Source organism: Homo sapiens, chromosome 17 (genome assembly GCF_000001405.40).
Source record: "Homo sapiens chromosome 17, GRCh38.p14 Primary Assembly".
NCBI classification, from domain to species: Eukaryota; Metazoa; Chordata; class Mammalia; order Primates; family Hominidae; genus Homo; species Homo sapiens.
In genome coordinates, this window is record NC_000017.11 from 55,809,511 (window position 1) to 55,830,695 (window position 21,185).

At 41.1% G+C, this 21,185-nt stretch overlaps 1 protein-coding gene across 6 annotated transcripts in view; it reads left to right on the forward strand.

Annotated features, from left to right (window-relative positions):
- PCTP (phosphatidylcholine transfer protein) overlaps positions 1 to 21,185 on the forward strand; it is a 101,665-nt gene that overhangs the window by 58,460 nt on the left and 22,020 nt on the right. For 5 of the 6 annotated variants that reach the window (XM_047436500.1, XM_047436502.1, XM_047436499.1 and 2 more), the window contains exon 6: positions 13,251 to 13,417. In XM_047436500.1, coding sequence (XP_047292456.1) covers positions 13,251 to 13,331 — 81 coding nt within the window. In that variant the 3' untranslated portion in view covers positions 13,332 to 13,417. Of the gene's footprint in view, positions 1 to 13,250; positions 13,628 to 21,185 lie in introns of those variants that run through there. The other variant, NM_001330378.3, reaches the window with a different exon arrangement.

Sequence of the window (21,185 nt, forward strand, 5' to 3'; positions counted from 1 at the left end):
CATTCTCAGAGTCTTTTTTTTTTTTTTTTGGAGACGAAGTCTTGCTCTGTCACCCAGGCTGGAGTGCAATGGCGCGATCTCAACTCACTGCAACCTCCGCTTCCCGGGTTCAAGCGATTATCCTGCCTCAGCCTCCTGAGTAGCTGGGATTACAGGTGTGGGCCACCATGCCCAGCTAATTTTTGTATTTTTAGTAGAGATGGGGTTTCACCATGTTGGCCCAGATGGTCTTGATCTCCTGACCTCATGACTCGCCCGCCTCGGCGTCCCAAAATGCTGGGATTACAGGCATGAGCCACCACATCTGGCCAGAGTGTTCTTATTTTGCTTTTGTTGTTACTGTTTTTGCATTTTGTGTGTGTGTTTTCTCTATACACACCAAGTACAGAGTTTAGCTCTGTAAAAACATTGAAAACAAAACAGCAGAAAGGACTAAAGCTGTTACTATTAGAAATTTACCTTCTAGTTGGTAGATACATAACACTGTTCAAAGCAGGAAGCAAAGTCAGTATTACTATTATTTTTAAGAGACAGGGTCTCACTCTTTCACCCAGGCTGGAGTGCAGTGGTGGGATCATCACTCACTGCAACATTAAACTCCCAGGCTCAAATGATTCTCCTGCCTCAGCCTCCATAGTAGCTGGGACCACAGGCATGCACCACTATGTTGGCTAATCTTTATTTTTTGTAGAGACAGGGTCTCACTATGTTGCCCAGGCTGGTCGCAAACTCCTGGCCTCAAGTGATCCTCCTGCCTTGGCTTCCCAAAGCATTGGGATTATAGGCTTGAGCCATGGTGCCTGGCCGAGCAAAGTCAATGTAGTTAAGTACTGGGAAGGCCGAGCAAACCAATGGTAAAATTTGGATGAGAGTCACTGGGGAGGTTTCTGGGCCTAGCTGAATATCCACCTACCTATAAAATCTAGAGCCCGGGCTTTCCCATCTACTGAGACTCCAGGGGTAGGGGGCTTGTCCCACTGAATTGTCTGTGCTTCTAGGAAGCTCCTTCATTGTATGTGAGCCTAATGTGCTTTTATTATCCTCTACTGCCTTTATCACAGGAGTGAACCTCATCTACTCGTTGTCCCTAAAACATAACAGAGCCTCTCACTGTTTACCCATATCCAGTTCATGAGACTTGTAGGAGCTCCCTGTGGATGTAGTATTTGGAAAAAAGATTTTGGATAACTGTGTCAACCTGTTGGGATGCTTCCCTAAGAGTCCACTAGAGGAAACCATAGTCAGGAGGGAAATTGGGGTTTAAAATTTAAACGCAGAACTATGTGTTGAGCTAATGGGGCAACACTAGGATAAAACAATAGCTGGGCAGTGAGAGTTAGTGGCTTAATGACCAGGAGAATAAAAGCAAGAATTGCTGTATGGAGCAGGAGAAATTAGGCAGTTTAAGCCATCTTAAAACCTTGGATTTTTCTTTTATTGCAGAGTTACACCCAAGCTGCCAGAGTTCTTTAAAGACATCAGGGGAGGCCGGATAGTTGTTCCAAGCTATTACCCATCTATAGAATGCCCTTCTCTCCCTATTAATTACTTCGATTTCTACATTTTCTGCATGGCCTACCTCTAATATTTTCTTCTGCAGAGAATTGTTCTTAGCCACTCAGACTATAGGAATCATGCTCAGTTGTCATATATTTCAAACAGTTCTGTGTCACCATTTCCTTTGTTACATACAAAGTCTTTCCTCCAAATAGAATATAAACCAGTTATAGAGAGGCAAAAACATGATGCCTTTCGAAAATCCTAAAGGCCTTAGCAAATCAATTATTATCATTATAGCAAACACATATCTAGCACTTACTATGTTCTCTTCCAAGCACTTTTCACATATTATCTCATTTAATCCTGACAACCAACTATGCAGTATTTCCTATTGTCATTTTATTTTACATATGAGGAAACTGAGTCCTAGGCAGTGTAAGAGATAGTCCCAAGGTTACTCTGCTTAAAACAGAGATCTCTCACCCAGAACAATTTCTCATTGGCACCTTCACTTTGCTCGGCTGCCAAAAAAGTAGATATTGACGTGGAATCTGAATACAGCACCTGGCTGGAGAGCATTGCCTGTCTGATGATTCACACTTTTAAATAAAAATAATAAAACCCTTGGCTGGACAGCTTCACTTCCACAGTCCAGCTGGGATGTCGTCACTGTGGTTCCAAAACACACTTGGGTGATATTTCAGCTTGAATAAGTGTCATTTGCACATTCAGTTGTGAAAATTCTGCACGGAGGTCTTGTGATCACACTCCTTGTCAGGCATCTGCCAAAAGCTTGCTAATGTTTTGGCTCCCTTGTCCTGCTGGTTTTTGCTGGAAGTGACCTAGAGGAGCGTGGGATGCCTTCTCCTTTAGTTGAAACCCAAGTTAAAATGGGACAATCTGGGTGAGTGACCCAAACCTGAGTCCTGATTCAACCATTATTTACTGAGCACTCAGTATGTATCAAGCATTTTCCTGTATTTTATTACATTGAATCTTCCTGGTAGCGCTCTGAGGTGGGTGTTGTGATCTGTATTTTACAGATGTGGAAGTAGATTCAGATGTGAAAGTAACTTGCCAAAGGCCATTCAGTGAGTAGAACTAAAGAGATCTGATTCCAGGTTTCCTGCCCTCATCTCCATATCAAGGTGCTTCTAGTTCACTTTGAGGTGAATAAAGTAAAGAATGGAGGGGTAATATAATAGAGATGATAATAATAATAATTACAAACATCACTACCAACATTTCTTAAGTCTGCACTGTGTGCCAAGCACTATGGGAATACCTTACAGGCATCACTTCATTTTACCCTCACAACACCCATAAGAGGTAGTAGGCACTAGTATTTCCCCCATGGTACAAAGAAGGAAAATGATGCTTAGAGACGTTAAGCAGGTTAGCAAATGATGTGCCAAGTTTTAAGCCCAGACATTCTGTTGCCAAGGCTTGCTACAACAGCTGTATGAAAACATGCAATGTGGGAGTGCCAGATTAGATTCCTCACCTGCCCCATATCTTCAAAGAAAGCACCAAGAGAAAGTGTGAGGTCAATGATTTGAAAAAATTAATCAGACTGTCAACATTTCCAGTGGAGCCCATTCAGCCAAAGTCACCATTTTCAACGTTAACCTCCATGTTGCAAGGCTGACTTAGGAACGTTACACTCACAGACTCTGAGGAAGATGATGGATTTGTTGAGATGGAGCCTCACCTGGCTTGGAGCCAGGATGTCCAGGCTAAATCTGTGTCATTTAGTCCTTTTCACCCCATCTTATTGGGAGTAAGCTGGAAAGAAAATTCGGGTGCTTTGCCAAGGCTTTGGGAATTCACAGCCCTGTCACTCAGAGATGAGAAGGATCCTTTAGTTAGAAAAAGTTCTCAGTCACCCCTTCTGGAAGATAATCAGTGATGTGCCTTTCCGCAGTCATGAGAGTTATCACTCCTCCCCACGGGGAGAGTGGGCAGTCACGGTGAATCCTGGAAATGGGAGCTGCTCCCAGAGTGATTGAGAACAGAACTGAACTCAGTTCCTCACTTCTTGGTACCAAAGGGGTTGGGTTGTGCCTTGCAAAGGGAGAGCAAGAATGAAAAGAAGAGTAGAATGAGGTTTCGTTTTATATCCAGTAATCAACACACCAAATTAAAAATGAGCAGGGCAGTTTTGTGTGTGCTTGTGATTTGTTACACTGTTTTCCTTTCCTCTCTTATTTAAAAAATGCTATTTAAACAATATTATAATGACATTAAAAGAAGTACGTTATTTATTTATTTATTTTGAGACAGCACCTTGCTCTGTTATCCAGGCTGGGGTGCTGCGGTGGTGCGATCTCGGCTCACTGCAACCTCTGCCTCCCATGTTCAAGTGATTCTCCTGCTTCAGCCTCCCGAGTAGTTGGGATTACAGGTGTGCACCAACATTTTTGTGTTTTCAGTAGAGACAGGTTTTTTTGTGTTTCAGTAGAGACAGCTAATTTTTGTGTTTTCAGTAGAGACAGGGTTTCATCATGTTGGCCAGGCTTGTCTCGAACTCCTGATCTCAGGTGATTTGCCTGCCTTGGCCTCCCAAGGTGCTGGGATTACAGCTGTGAGCCACCGTGCCTGGCCAGAAGTTTAATAAAGAAAATATTCACATTCCACTTGTAGAATACAGCATAGTCTTTGCTCGTGCATCATCTATTCTTATGTAACTGTAATCAGACAATAGAGTGAGCATTTTTCCATGTTGTCCCATATTCCTTAAAAATATTCCTTGCTGGGCATGGTGGCTCACGCCTGTAATCCTAGAACTTTGGGAGGCTGAGGCCAGAGGATCTCTTGAGCCCAGGAGTTCAAGACCAGCCTGGACAATATAGTGAGACCTTGTTTTTACTAAAAATAAAAACATAGCCGGCCATAGTGGCACATGCCTGTGGTTCCAGCTACTCAAGTGGCTGAGGTGGGAGGATCACTTGAGCCTGGGAAGTCAAGGCTGCAGTTATGAGAGATTGAGAGATCGTGTCACTGCACTCCAGCCTGGGTGACAGAGGAAGGAAGACCCTGTGTCAAAAAAAAAAAAAAGAAAAATTGTTTCAAAAGAGAATTCAATGCGTCGATTACAAAGCCTATTGCTTCTTTCCTTTCTTAATTTTGCTGACACTCTGATATTTTAATCTCCATTCTAGAGTGTGAGCTTATTCATATCCATTCTAGAGGAAGGAGGAGGTTTGAAAATGAAGGGACATGCACATTTGTCTACCCTGTCATGTGTTAATGGTTCCCATTAATAACAAAATAGATGAGGATTAGATAAGAGGAGAAACAGAAGAAAAAAAGATCAAAAGTGTTCACTAAAATGAGTTGTATTCTAGTTATTTTCAATTTTAGGAGAACCAAGGTGAAAAAATGCACTAACCAGCTGACAAACAGCTCTGCCCTCCGGAGGCTTGGCAGACACTGAGCAGCTGCTCCTGGGGCCAGGCACCTCTGGCTGTGCCAGCAGCTGTGCCAAGGCTGAACAAGGTCGGGGGGAAAGAAATGCTTCACATACCTTTGGATTTGTTTAGTCATTGACGCAGGAAATAGGTCTGTGTCGCTCAGCTGGTAGCATCATTGCGTTTGCCTGGAAGGTCAAGGGTTCAAGAACCACACTAGAAAGTTGGCAGCTTCCCGAAGCCAATGCTTGCACTGTCATGGAAGGCAGGTGGTGGTGAACACTGGAGAAAGGAATGCTCTCTCTGCATGTCCCAGGGAAATGGGGCTCACAGGGGCAAGACAGACACAACACCACTCAGTTTACTTTGACCCATAAGCTTCAAAGTACTCCTGTGTGGAACTAGCAGAACTGTCATCCAGGGGACAGGATTGTGTCATAGACAACTCTAGAAGACAAGCGGAGTTTGGGGCTCTCTGATGCATGCTCTACCATCTTTTTTACTGAACCCTCAGCTCAGCCTCTGTTTCAGCTTTGAGAAACTCAGAAACCAAGAACAGTGAAAAATTGTGGCAGATCCTCAGGAAGAAAAGAGGCCCACACTTACTGAGTAAACTAAGCCTGGAATTCAGGTCTACAGCCCAGTAGAATAATCTCTTTGTAAACTTCTCTAAAATGCTTATGTGCATTGCTGCTTGGAAGTTCAATGTTATGCACAAAAGCAATTTACTATAATATTTAAGATATTTAAATTAGTTTAAGAGTTTAAAAAGCATGATTATATTTGAAATTATTGGGAATTATTTATAGTAAATACACTTGATAATTTTGCTTTTGGCTAAATATTGGAAATTTGGGGAAATAATCCAAAAAATGATAGTAGAGAGGGAGTTCAGCAAAGGTAAATGTGGAAATACATCTTTTAAAATTAATCAAGCCCACTCCGCTAAAAGATAGATCACTTAAGCCTGAAATACAATTTATCTGCCTAAAGAATTTCTATGGCAGCAGGTGTGGCCTGAACAACAGTGCACACCTGAGCTGTTTGTGCATGGAGTAACATTTTGGCTTACAAGTTACCACAGGGCTAATTGTTGCTTATTTATTTCGTGGGCTGCTCTGATCCTAGATACCTTTGTCCCTGGAATGTGGGAGATTGAGTAGGTGTGGGGATGGTGCTCTTCGGTAAAATTGTCTTTAGACTGGAGAAGGTACAGTAACAGGCAGCTTCTTGTTAGTCTAAAGGAAAAAAATCCCTGACTCCTTTCCCCTTTAAATAAAACACCTTGCTTGCAACCAGCTATAAGAGAGGTTTGAGGTTGGCTTGCATCGGGAACCTGCCAACAGGTTCAAGTCTGATGTTCCTACTCCCAGGACATCTTTTGCTGTCTTATCATGAGTTTTTTATTTATTCAGTTATTAGGAGCTGTCTTTCTGCTCCTACCCTCAGAGACCTAAACAAGACCTCTCATCTTTTGAAACCAAAGACAGAGTGAAACAGTCCCCAAAGAAAGGAAATCCTACAAAGTCTAATGGAAGTTACACAGTTTTGGATTTCCCTTGGCATTTCGTGGTACCTGTCTCTAGTCCTTAGTGCTGTCTACCTGAAATTACTAACATTTCCTCTCTTCATGAGGACAAGGTTCTTCTTCTTTAATTTTTTAACAGCTTTATTGAGATATCATTCACATATCTCACATACGATTCACCCATTTAAAGTATATGCTTCAATGGCTTTTATTATATTCACAGACTTGGGCAGCCATCATCTTAATCAATTTTATAACATTTTCATGATCACCCCCAAAGAAATCCCAAATGTTTTAGCCAACATTCTCCAATCCTCCTGTCTTCCCAGGTCTAGGAAACCACTAATGTAATTTTTGACTCTATGAAATTGTCTGGATATTTCTCTATGAAATATTCTGGATATTTCATACAAATGGAATCAAGGCTCTCTTTAAGCATCCTACTATTCTTCTACAGAGCCTGGCCAAAAACCTGGTACCTAGTAGGCCTTTTAGCAAGGCTATATTAGTTACTTGATTTAGGTATATTAAATGACTCTTTTAGGATCAATATAGCTCATGAGTGGGTAACTGGATAGTCCTAGATGAAAGACCTCATATGCCATTACCCATGGCGTGTTAATGGTCTGGACAGTATCAGAATGAAAAGACAGCCTATGAGTCATAGCTTCCCCTAGGTGAGGTCCCACAGACATGGCCCCCTGTACTACTTGTCTGTTCAATGATATAACACGGACGCCATCAGCTCAACAAATCAGAAATCGATTCCCTAGAAGACTGGAGTTCTCTTATAAGTTGGCACACCACGGTGTGTGTTAACAGGCAATAACACTAAAATGCACTAAAGACCATGTAATTTATTCCCAACATGCTGTTATTCTTTCCAAAACATTAGCTTTGGAGCAGAACGTTTGCTAAATGTTGTCTTTATTTCCAAAGCTTGGGGTAAAGATCATATGCAACCAATGACTGAGAGATAATTGGCCACTTTACAGTTTTAACCTCAAATGAACTCCCCCGTCTGAGTAAATTTCCTGGTAAAAGATCCCATTTTAATAGAATGTGAAAGCTGCAAGAAAGATGGAGCTTACAGATCACAGTATGGTCTGTTAGATAAATGACCAGGAGTAATATTTCTTAAAACCACATTTTGTAGACAGAGTTAACAGAAAACCCAGGAAAAAAATACCCAGTGGTTCAGCATTCTCGCTTAAATGAAAATAGCATGTGTGTTTTCAGCTCAAGTTGTGCCAGGGCTTGGAGGGAAATTGGCAAGGATTAAAACCAAGAGTCTTTTGGGGGTTGTTGGGTATTGTCATCCTGGACCTGACCTCACAGCTTTCTCTCTTGGAGGAGAAGGCAAAAAGTAGCTGTGCTAAAACTTTGCTCTAAGAGTTGCCACAGAGTCCAGAAAGTTCCTCTTCTTGCAGTTGGCTTATTTTCACTGAGCTGGCATTGAGCCAGAAGTCAAGTTATTATTTTGTTTAATAGCTGAAGAAATGACCATCTTGTGCTTTTTAACCTAAAGGTGGCCTTGACTGCAGATCCCTGGATGTGGGGAAGCACCTAAGAAGGTCAGTTCTTCCGGTAGAATGGGAGGGTGCTCCTGCTGTGCATTTAAAGTGAGGTCCTTGGTTTCCTCCTTTGGATTATCATCTTTGGTGAGGTTTGCCTTATGGAGAACTGATGACTGTGAGTTGTCATGTACAAAGTGGAAAAGTAGCTTTATTGTCTGAAGCTCAAATTTCACAGGCTTGCACTCCTTGGTTTAGAATTCAGATTCCTCAGTTTGAAAGAGAACAAGAAAATGTCGCACCTTTTAATCTATTTGGGCAGAAAGAAAATTTAAATCTAGTCAGAGAGGGTATCTGTCTACAAGAGCTCATCCCAAAGATTTCAATTAGTTATTCAAGAAACCATGGCTAAGAACACACTATGAGCCAGGAACTCTCCTGGGTCCTAGGGGTTACAGAGGAAAACTAACCATGACTCTACCTTGAAGGGCTCACAGTTTATTGGTGATTGGTCATAGGGGAGAGGGAGAGGGAGTAAGACCTAAGTTTGGTGAGTACCATGATACAGGTATGTACAGGATATGATGCAGCACAGCTTGGGGTGGGTCAGAAAGACTTTTCATGAGAAACGAATCCAAGGTTGGGTCTCAAAGTAAGAATAGAAGTTAGCCAGGCATCTGGAAGTTCACAGTTGCATGGGGGAGGCAGTTGGCTGAGATAGAGGGAAAAAGCACAGAAACGGAGATCGCATGATGTGATTCAGCATGTCTTGGGTGGGTAGGCATGTATTTTTTGAAAGATGAGGTCAGAGAAGTTGGCAGAGGCCAGATCAATAGCAGCCTTGGGTTTTAAACAAGACCACTTTCCTAGCTCCTCCTGGCTATTCCAACATGGCAACTGGTGCCCTGAGTTCTATCTCAGCATTTGTCACTGTGTGAGTATCACTCTTTTTTGCTCTAAGCAGATAGATCTTGCAGATCTGTAAAAAATTCTGGTTTTTCCACTTACTATGTATGTAATCTTGGACAAACTACTTAGCTATGTGGAGGCTCTGTTTTCTCTTCTGTAAAATGGGTCAAACAAAAAACAACTTCATAGGGTTATTGTGAGTATTACTAGGATCAAACAAGAACAATGACTGGCATGAGAAAAAAGTGGTCATGAAATATTTGTGGAATTAAATTGGGTACAGGAGTGAAAAGGAAATTCTTCTGTCTGGAAAATAGCCTTTAGCTTTCCAAACACCAGTAGCTGCCAAAGCAGTGTAGGACACCTGGAAAGAGGTAGAAAAGAGATCCGAACCATGAAGAAGAGTGACAGGAAGCCACAGACCCCAAAACTAGAAGATGGTAAGCCAGTGAAGCAGATCAAAGTGGGAGGGGTGCATCTTGTGCCAGAACAGCAAGGGCACGGTCAGAAGGGTGGCCAGGAGGGAGGAGGTGGCAGATGCTGGCTCACAGGGCACTTCAGGGAGTGAATGCATGGCAGCCTGTGGCTTCCTCTTTCCTGATGTTGTCCTGGTGTCCTACCAGGCTCTGGAAAGAAATCAAAAAAAAAAAAAAAAAAAAAAAAAAAGAAAAGGAAAGAAGAGAGGAAAAACGGGAAAAAGAAAACAGCGGCATTGTTGTTTAATAACAGCGACACCCCTTCATGATAGAAAACACATAACAAACTAGAAATAGAAGGGAACTTCCCCAACCTGCTAAAGGGTGTTTATGAACAAACCACAGCTAACATACTTAATTGTGAAAGGCTAAAAGCTTTCCCCCTAAGATCAGAAATAAGACCAAGGTGTCTGCTCTTAACACTCCTTTTCAAAATTGTGCTGGAGGCTTTAGCCAGGGTAATTAGGCAAGAAAAAGAAATAAAAGACATTAAGATTGGAAAGGAAAAAGCAAAACTATCTGAGGATACATAATTTTATATATAGAAAAACAATATTGAAAAAGAAGAACAAAATTGGAAGATTTGCAGTTCCTGATATAAAAATTTACTACAGGCCGGGTGCAGAGGCTCATGCCTGTAATCCTAGCAATTTGGGAGGCTGAGGTAGGAGAGTGGGAGGATCATTTTAGTTCAGGAGTTCAAGACCAGCCTAGGAAATATAGGGAATCCCAAATCCACAAAATAAATAAACAAAAAATTAGCCAACCATGGTAGTGTGCATCTGTTGTCCTGGCTACTTGGGAGGCTGAGGTGGTAGGATTGCTTGAGCCCAGAAGGTTGAGGCTGCAGTGAGCTGTGATCATTCCACTGCACTAACAGAGTGAGACCCTGCCTAAAAAAATAGCTTACTACAAATAACTTGCTACAAATCTACAGTAATCAAGATGGTGTTGTACTGGCATGAGGATTGATATATAAATCAATAGAATAGAATTGAGGATCCAGAAATAAACCCTCTCAATTACAATAAATTGATTTTCCATGAAGGAGTATCAAGAAAATTCAATGGGGGAAGAATAATCTTTTTCAACAAATGGTACTGAGACAACCGGATATCCATATGCAAAAGAATGAAATTAGATCACCTGCCACCGTATATAAAAATTAACTCAAAATAGATCAAAGACCTTAAATGTAGGAGCTAAAGCTATAAAATTCTTAGAAGAAAACATAGGGGCAAATTTTTTTATGGATTTGCCAATAATGTCTTAGATCTAGCACCAAAAGCATAAGCAAAAAAATAAACAAAATAGATAAATGTAACTTTATTAAAATTAATAACTTTTGTGCTTCAAAAGAAACCATAAAGAAAGTGACAAGACAATGCACAGAATGGGAGAAAATTTCTGCAAATCATATATCTGATAAGGGGCATTCCTGTTGCTATAACAAAATACTGAAGAGCAGGTAATTTATATAAGTAATAGAAATCTATTTCTCATAGTTCTGGAGGCTGGGACATTCAATATCAAGGCACTAGCAAATCTAGGGGCTGGTGAGAGCTGCTCTGGGCTTCCAAAATAGTGCCTTGTTATTAGGTCCTCACATGATAGAAGGGATGAAAGGGCCAAGGGGATGAATAGCTCCCTCGAACCTCTTTCATGAGGTCATTAATCTCATTCACGAGGATTCTACTCTCATAACTTAATCACCCCTAAAGGCCCTACATCTTAATACTATCACATTGGTGATTAGACTTTAACATATGAATTTTGAGGAAACACATTCAGGCTACAGCAGGGCTTGTATCTAAAATACATAAAGAAATGATACAACAAGAGACAAAAACTTAATTAAAAAATGGAAAATAATCTGAATAGACATTTCTCCAAAGAAGATATACAAATGGCCAATAAGTGCATACAGTATGTTCAACATAATTAGCAATCAGGGATGTGCAAACTAAAACTGCAGTGAGATGCCACTTCACACCCATTAGGATGGCTATAATGAAAAAGATGAATAATAACAAGTGTTGGCAAGGATATGAAGAAGTTGGAGTTCTCATACACTGCTAAAAGGAATGTTAGGCAGTGCAGCCACTTTGGAAAATACAAGGCAGTTTTTTAAAATGTTGAACACAGAGGTTTAATGTTCAAAAGGTTAACATTTGACTTTGAAATTCTACTCCTAAGTATAGATACAGAAGAAATAAAAACACAGGTCAACACACAAACTTGTACGTAAATGTCCATAGGAGCATTTTTCATAATAGGCAAATAATGGAAATAGTCCAAATTTCCAATGACTGATGATTGAATAAAACATAATATATCTGTACAATGAAATATTATTTGGCAATGAAGTACTGATACATGGTACAACATGGAGGAACTTTGAAAACATTATGTCAAATGAAAGAAGTCATTCACAAAGGATCATATATCATTTCATGTACGTGAAATGTTCAGGATAGGCAAATCCATACAAAGAGTAAATTAGCAGTTGCTTGGGATTAAGAAGAAATGGGAAGTGATGCTAATGGATATGGAGCTTCTTTTGGGGGTGATAAAATGTTCTAAAATTTATTGTAATGATGGTTGTACAACTCTGTTATTTACTAAAAACCATTAAATTGTACACATAAATTGGTTCATTGCATGGCATGTGAATTATATCTCAATAAAGCTGTCATAAAAACCAACAATACAAATAGCTATTGTTAATTTAGCACTTTCTAAATGCTAGGTACTGTGCTAAACTATGTAATCTTACCTAAGTCTCATAATAAATATGCCAGGAAACTTTTAGTTTTATTTACAAAGGGAAAACATGAGTTCAGAGATAAGGAAATTGCCCAAGGTCACAAAACTAGTAATTACCATACTAGTTAGGATTTTAACTCATTTTTGTCTCATTTTGAGTTTCAGGGTCTTACAAAATGCCATTAGATGGATCTTGTGAGCATCCTTGTGTACAAGGCTGGGGTGTTCACAATAGTGACCAACACGAAACAGTAGAAATTAGTGAAATCTCTGCCTCTGACTTTCTCACCCTGGAACTGGGGTGAGGTGTTGGCTCCCAGGCGCTGTGGATATGGGGTGGCAAGGAATCTATCCTCAGTGAACTGAATTAATTCCTTAATTCTCCCTCAGATATGTCACAGCTGTCATTCTGGAGGTGAGACTCTTGACCCTCCACCCCCAGCACCTGATTTTACAGATTATGTCTTGCGTTTGAAAGTGAGTCCTGTTACTGTTGGCTCTGTCTGCTTCCTAGTTCCAAGAAACAAAACGTGAGAAGGAAGGTGTTAAGCCCACAAAACAAAGACGTCAAATAGTTCTCACCAAGGAACATTTGGATGAGTTTTGGGAAAATGACTGTGAAGCAGATGGATTACATTTTCTGTTTGGGCTCAGTAATTAAGGGGAAAGGGGGACTCAAGCCAAATGTGCTGGGATTTTGTCAAATTCCAAATGTTGGAACACATTTCAGGATGTTTGACTGAGTTTGGCAGAATCAGTACCTTGACTGTGGCCTTCTCTTCTTGGACAAAAGATGACCGAAGAGCCTACAATAATCCAAACCTGAAAGAAGCCACAGGCATGGTTACCCTTTTGTGGGAAATGGCACAATGGTACCCTTTGTCAGTTGGAATATTTCAGTGGGGGGATTAAATATGCATATGGCTATTCTTGCAGGGTTTTTGAGAAAGAGGATAAAAATCAGCTCACATAACACAATTTAAGAATATACTCTTTCATTCTATTCCTCGTGATCCAGAGGCTAGAAGTAGAATTGCATCCTTCCATGACTATCCAAACCCCTTATTCTGTGCATCCTGAAGTATCCCCAGGAATTTTTGTGGCTGTACTTACTCTCATCCTTTGCTCTTTCCATTTGATTCTTTAGAATCAGAGCAGAACCAAGCGGGAAGCTCAGAATCAGAGAGACCTCATCAAGTTTTTGGCAAACCCAAACATTCTGCAATAGATTGAGTGGAAGGAAGAGGAAGGACATAAAGATAAAGACATGAGAAAAGAAGCTGAGTCTTTGTTGAAACACTGAAATGGGTGCAGGTATCATTTCTTATCTCATTGTTTTTTCTCATAAGCCCTGAATTAATTCATTTATTCACAGTATTTTCGCAGATGTGAAATTCACATATTATTCACAGATGTGTTCACTATCATCTATGTACTGGAAAGATAGCAGTGAATAAAATGGACAAAATTACCTGCCCTCTTGGAGCTCGCATTCTAATGAATAAAATGCCATTGTCACTTGGAGGATATGCTTATCAAAATTTTTAGAGGTCAGTTGCCTAGCTGGTCAAAGAGCAGTAGAATTTAAATTTTTCTCCTGTAAGTAGCTACAATGCTTTGTCAGAATTTTTACCCTAGTATTACAAATATTTATTCTATTTTGCTGATAAATTTAAAAATGGCCTTCAGTGTCATTCCAGATGGGATATGTTGTCTTACCATTGACAGAATATTCTACACCCAAAGTTAAAATTTCTAAGAAGAAAACACAATTAAGTTCATCCTTTAAAACATTTTTTTCAAATGACTAAAAAGTAGCGACTGGGAAGTGCTGATATTAAAATGGCAGCAAAGCTTCCGCCTCAGAGCTCTCCTTTCTTCTCCCTGTCTTCTCATCAGCAGATCTTTTTTTATTCACTGAAGAAGCAAAATTGGAAAGTAAATATATAAATTAGAAACTGGCAAGAGAAGTAAACAGCAGTCTTGGGTTTTCACTTCAAGGCAAAACGATGGCTCCTAGTGTCCCCTTCTGCATGTCAATCTTGTATATCAATTCCTTGTGATAGGAAATGTTATTTTCAGTGGACTGTAGTCCAGGCAATTGTCAAGAGAGCTCCTATGTGGCAACTGTTTTGGACATGTCCAGAGACACAACTTTTTCAACACTGCATCAGCCCCAGCCTGGCTTTCACTGCTTCTGTATCCCTAGCTGGTCACAGCTAGCTCTGCTGATGCTCCACAGCTTCAGGCACAGCTCCGCCTGAGCTATTCCTGATGGAGATGAATAGTGCTGCATAACTCCCTATTGCAGACTGGTTTCACATTAGGTCTACTGTCTAGACTTGAGACTTAATGGCCCCAGATGTCTGAGGGACTCCCACACTCCTTGCTGCCAATTAGATCTCAGATCTACTGGTGGTATTCATGACCATAGGGGACTAAGTTCGGGTGGTAGCTCCCTTCTTTTACCTTCTTCCCATACATTCACTCAGTCCATAGAATAGAACTGCAAACTTGATGTTCTCTTTTTAATCCAACCAATCAACTTGTCTAATGCACTAGTCCCAATTCTGGAGATCCTAGTTTCAGTGACCCAGTTACTGACCTGGGTCTTCTTGCTTACAAAGACCTCCGAGAGTGTACCCACCTGCCTGTTAAACTGGTTAATTTCCACCAATCTAAGTGTAGGTGCCACTAACTAGATGCAAATTTTTGGTATAGCCATTTCTAAAATGAAGATGGAAACAGGTACAGCCCCAAAGACAGTAGGCATGACCTGACCTCCTGTACCTTTAGAGTTATTCCTTGTTCCATCTCAGTGCATGTCTCAAATTAATTAGTGCATGTCTCAAATTAATTCCTGCTCCATTTTACAGCTTGCCTGATAATACTATAGGCAACAATGCAAAGTATCTAACATCAAAGTCTCAAACAATGATAAATTGTAATTGGAACTACTTCATGGTGGGAGAGAAGCTTTTGTTATCAACATTTATTAGGCCTGCTGGACCTTTAGTAGGTCACTCGGTCCCTGAACACAGAGATAAGTGGACCTGGGTTTCATATTTAGTCTCCTTGCAGAACAAATTTAGCCTTGGAGAAGACCAAGGCTTTGGGCCCAGGAATGGCCTGGAAGTTCTCTGGGACTAATTCAAAGCCTCACTAAACTCCCTCTTGGAACATCTTAGGATCCATAGCCACAGATTCCTTGGTACACCCAAAGCACGGTATAGACTTTATAACACTGCCAGTCCTTTTTAATGTTTCAATCTTTTTCTTTCATCTTTATTCTAATGGTGCCTTGAGAAAAAACAGCATTGAGTATACAAATGAATTTGGGAGTAAGAGAGAGGGATCTGGGAGAAAAAATAAAAGTGAAGTTCAAATAAACTTGTTTGGGGAACTAAATGGCTCTTACGTTAAGAAGAGTGGGCTCATCCCCACCAGGTGCACAAATTTTTTTAATGTCTTTTCTTGTTTAAGAAAAAAAGTAATTTGTCCAAATTAATGACCCTTTGTCCAATATGGAGAGTATTAGATACTTGATCTTTTCTTCTATGTCGAGGGCATGGCTGAAGTCTTTTAATCCGAGCTCTGAGAGCCCAGTGAGAAGTTAGTTGTTTGTAGCTTGAGACATGGACCATTCTTTTCCCTTTAAAATTTTGTGAGTCTCTAAGTCAACTTCAAAATAAGGATTGAGAAAAACTCAAGGCTGTCTCAGTTTTGTGTTGAGTGAATGCTTGCTTGAAATAGAGAAGCAAAAGAAAAACAAAGGTAAAATGTTTTGATCATTCACCAAATTAAGCGTTAGATGTTACTGCCATCTAGTGATGATTTAACACCTGGCTGCCAGGGGAAGGTAGAGTCATCTTTTTGCTACATAGGCATCGCCTTAGGGCCTATCACAGACTTGCAGGTTTGGGAAAAAGGTGACATCTGAGTAAACTTCCAAATTACCAGAGGATGGTACTATGGTGAAAAGGTCCCACAACTGTGAGAAAAATGCATGTATTCGTATTAAATCCTAAGCCTCTCTGCCCATAATATTTCTTTAAAAAAATCTTCCTTGCAACAATGAAAACAGGTTTCTCTTAACTCCATGACTCCAGGATCCTTAACGCATATTTAAACATTCACAGGCAAGTTATATGCCACCTCTCCATTGCATCTGCCTCCAAACCCTGTCTCTACACATCACTTAATAGAGCTCCAATCCCATTCCTCCTCATTCTGACTGCGCTAATTCCAATCCCATTTCTCCTCATTTTCACTGCACTCATGTGGTCACTGGAGGTGGGGAAGAGGAAGAAGCAAAGAAGATGATACTGTGCTTACCTTGTGTAGATGCTTTACAATCATAGTTGCCCTCACTATCATCCCAGAAATCGGCATCATTCCAGTGTGAAAGATGAGAAAATCAAGAATCAGAAAAATTAGGTAATTGGCCAGAGATCACACAGTTAAGTGTAAGTAGCAAAGCTGGAATTTGAACCCAGTGTACCTGGTCTCATCATCTGAGGAGTTTTTTTGTGGCTTGGTAAGCACAGTGGTAGGATGTTGGAGAGGAACACTGAATGTGGAACAGTGGGAAATGTTCTCTGCTCATCAAAGGGCAGAGTTCAAGAACATCCTCATGTGGCCTCCTCTGGAGCAGGTACAGAAAAGCTGGGAAGGTACAGAAGTACTTGAGTGTAAAGGCTTAGCAGGTTTTGGACGCACAAGCAAATCCATATCTAGAGCAGGGTTGCCAGAAACAGATGGTAACTCTAGGGTGCTAATTTCATCCCCTTCCCTCATCTGAAGAAACGCCATGCTTCATGAGAGTATCCATCTCCGAAGGATTAAAAAGATAAGAAAAAAAAAAAAAAGAAGGTGATCTGATCTAAGCCTGGCACCAGCAGTCCCCTTAGGTATATGGAGGAAAGAACACTGAAGTTGGTGAAAAGGATATAGTTCGGGATTTCTGTTGCCTTGGGATTTGGGCTACAGCCATAACGCTAAAGACATGAGGCAAAGCGTATTTAGTTTTCTTCATTGGCATCAAAGAACCTTCCCAGATGCCTTTGCAGTTAGATGGCTCATGAAATCTTGGCCAAGTTCCGGCCAATGGAAACGATGTAAGCCTGTCTAGGTTTGGGCTCTGAGACATCCTACGTGATCCTTCACATGCTCTTTCTTCTTTCCCCTGAGGGCTACATGTGGAGTATTCATAGGGTAATTCTGAATCCAATTTGGAGCCTTGAAAAATTACTTGGTGCAAACACTCTTCTCTCTCCAACACACACCAGCCCCTCATTGGACTGGGTTGTGAATAAGAAAAATGCCACTAAGATTTTTTGTTTGTTGTTTATTATAGCATTTCATGTAATTTAACCTGTTAATATACAACAACAGATACAAAAGATACCTACTGTGGTAAACAGCCAAAAAAAAAAAAAAAATGGCCAGAATTCTTTATTGCTCCTTGTATCCAAGCTCGTTGCAATTTGACTTTGCACTTTGTCTCACTAGGGAGGCAAAGTCTATTTCCCTGCACTTTGAGTCTGAGCTAACCTGTGACTTCTTTCATGCAAGTAGTAGCCGTGTGCCACTTAGGAGTCTAGGTCTCCAGAGGCTTTGCATGCTTCTGCCACTCATTTAGAATCCTGCTCAGCCCCAGTGACAACAAGCCTTGACCTGCTGGATAAGGAGGGACATGAGGTCAAGACACCCCAGCCAACCACCAGCTAATGCCATCCTAGTTCAATGTTCAGCCAGCCTCCTGCCACTGACCACAGCTGACCACTGAAGCATAAGTAAGCTCAGCTAAATTCAGTTAAGCCTGGCCCACAGAAACAAGAATGCTCAGCTGATGGCATGGTGTGTTTTAATACTTATTATTTACGCTACTGGATTTTGGGGAAGCTTGTTACACAGCGTTAGCTGAAACACCTATATTTTAAAAAGACCTACTGCTCATAACCCAGCAGGACTTACTAAGAGGCTAGCAGAACTTGTTTTGTTGTTATCAACCTACCACAGTCTCCAAAATTGGAACATTCCCCGTTAGAGGAGACATCACTGGGATCAGGGGTTAGAGGGGTTAGAGCATCCCATGTTCCTGGTAAGAACTTACTCCATTCTGCCTCTCTGGGAAAAGATTACAGGTGTTTTCTTTTTTCAGTGAAAGTCCAGGCTAATTAAGGGAAGCGCTGAGAAAACCACTTGTAGAAATCGGTGGGAGTCAGAGAGAGGACCTGCAGGAATTGGGGCTTAGCTTATCCCTCCCTGACGAGAAGCTTATTAGGATGCAGGTCCTGTAAAACCACTGTTACTCCCAGCAAAGCAAGCATGATGGAGTAGTTTTTGATAGAGCTGAATTTTATGCTATTTGCGTTCAAGGGTGTATATTAATATAGTGCCTGGTACTGCTTCTCACTTGGAAAATTTTGAAGGCAGGAAACTTTCTAGGGGCACTCTGGGGTGGGAAGCAAAGGAACAGAAAATTGGTATGCTAAACCCTTCTATAACTAATTGGAGAAGCAAGGAGCTGTAAGTTTCCTACGTGAGAAAGGAATAGGTAATTGGATTGGAACATTTTGGCAGAACAGTGTCTGTATTAGCCTCCTAGGGCTGCTGTAACAAAGTACTACAAATTGGGTGGCTTAAAACAACAACAATGTGTTCTCTCACAGTTTTGGGGGCTGGGCATCTGAAACCGAGGTGTCAGCAGGGCTGTATTCCCACTGAATCCTTCAGCAGAGGACCCTTGCCTGCCTCTTCCAGTTTCTGCCTGCACAGACGTTCCCGGCTTGTGGCAGCATCACTCCAACCTCTGCCTTCATCTTAATATGGCTGTCTTCCCCCTCTGTTCTGTGCTTTCACATGGCATTCTCTTCTCTTTGTATGTCTATTTCCAAATCTCCTCTTTTTATGACACCAGTCATTGGATTAGGACCCACTCTAATGACCTCATCTTAACTTGATGACATCTAGAAAAACTCTGTTTCCAGGTAAAGTCACATTCACAGGTATGGAGATTAGGACTTCAATGTGTCTTTGTGCGGGGGAGGGTGGGAAGCAATTTAACCCAAAACAGTGCCCAAAAGGGCTGGCTTCTGGGTGATGGAGCCCAGTAGTAAGAGCTGTAGACAATAGCAGAAGATGGGGGAGGGGGCAAGATGAGAGCGTGCAGCAGTGGCGGGCCTACTGAAAAGTGGGCACGAATCACTTTAAGGAAACCGATATTTGGACTTCTGCTTCCCAATGGGCATAACAGCCAAGGGAGTGCCGGATATGGCCCCAGTCAGGAAAAAGAGCTTCTTGCTCCTTTCCCTCAAGGGCTTCTTCCCAGTCCCCCCTACATGTTAAAAACGGAAGAGATGCAGAAGGAGAAAGTGTCCCAGGAACAAAGGAGCAGACACCTGTAATAATCATCACTGAGGACCACAGCCATGGGGAAAGCTAGCACCAGAGAGAGAAGAGGAGACAGTGGGGCTGAGTTCAAGATGAGATTGATAGTTAAGCCAGACTTTGTGAAACCTGAGTGGATATACAGGTTGAGATTTGCCCAAGATATGATCAAGAGGTGCAGAAAGGAGCTTCAAAGGCCAATATGTGAAAAAAAAAAAAAATAAAGACATACTTACACTTCACCTAGTGAATCAGTTTGGTAGAAGAGTTATAGGTGTTAAAGTCTAAACTGTGTGATTTTTGTTTGTTTGTTTGTTTTTGTTGAGGTGGAGCCTTGCTCTGTCACCCAGGCTGGAGTGCAATGGTGCGATCTCGGCTCACTGCAACCTCTGCCTCCCCAGTTCAAGCAATTCTGTCTCAGCTTCTTGAGTAGCTGGGACTACAGGTGAATGCCACCACACCCAGCTAATTTTTGTATTTTTAGTAGAGATGGGGTTTCAAACTCCTGACTTCAGGCTGATCTCAAACTCCTCACCTCAGGTGATCCACCTGCCTTGGCCTTCTGAAGTGCTGGGATTATAAGCTTGAGCCACTATTCCCAGCCTAAACTGTGTGATCTTGACCAATCTTTTACCACCTCTGAGCCTCAACTACTTCATCTATACAGTTTGGATAATAATTTAAACACACACACACACACACACACACACACACACCCTCTACAAGCTTGTAAAAGAACTTTCTATGTTTGAGGTGCTGTTGTCACTGAGACCAGAATCCACAGATGGTGGCTTGTGTTTCCATGTTTGGTTATAGGTATCAGACAATGCATTCAGCTTTTCTGAGCTTCAGCTTTCTCATTTTTAAAAAAGGGCCATGAGTCATGGGGCAAATGGAAAGATGAAATGAGATGTGAAATTGCTTTTTTATTTTGCAAATTGTTTTATATTTGCAAAGCATTTCAGGCATGTCTCCTATCGTCTGTGTTTTTATGACACCAAATAGCGGCAGCATGTTGAATTAAATGTAAGAATTTATATTACTTGAATTCTGTTGATGAGAATTTGTAATGAGCAATCAACCTTGTACAATATGAACCCCCTGGAAAGCTTTAAAAATACTAATGTCTGGGTTCCATCCCCAGAGATCGCCACTTAATCAGTCTGGGCTAAAAAACCTGGGCATCAGGGAGATTTTTCCAAGCTCCCAGGAGATTTGACTGTGCTGCGGGGTAGGGGGAGGTGGTTTGAAAACCGTAGAGTAGAAAGTTCTGCTGCTGTGGCTGAATGACTGACTGCCACATTGTTATCTGTTTTGTTTTTCTGTTTACCTCTGACAATTTTTAACTGCACTGCAATTTTTGTTGATGGACTAGGAACATGTTGATTTGGGTGTGATTTTCTGGCTAGTCAGCGATTTTTTTTTCTTTTAGCTTTAGGTTTTGCCAGTTTTGATCAACTACTTTATCATTTTCTGCTTGCTACACAAAAAGTGTACCTGTCACCTTAAAAATGAAAATTGGTTGGTAAAATTCCACATTCTGACAGGAAAAATAACATCGTTTTTGTGAATCTGAAAGATGGTTTCCTTTCCACCACTGGAACAACTGCTTTTATTTTTTAATAATCTGAGGTATCTTAGGACTGCAATTACACTGTAGAAAAACACGTGACATTAATAAATCAGAATA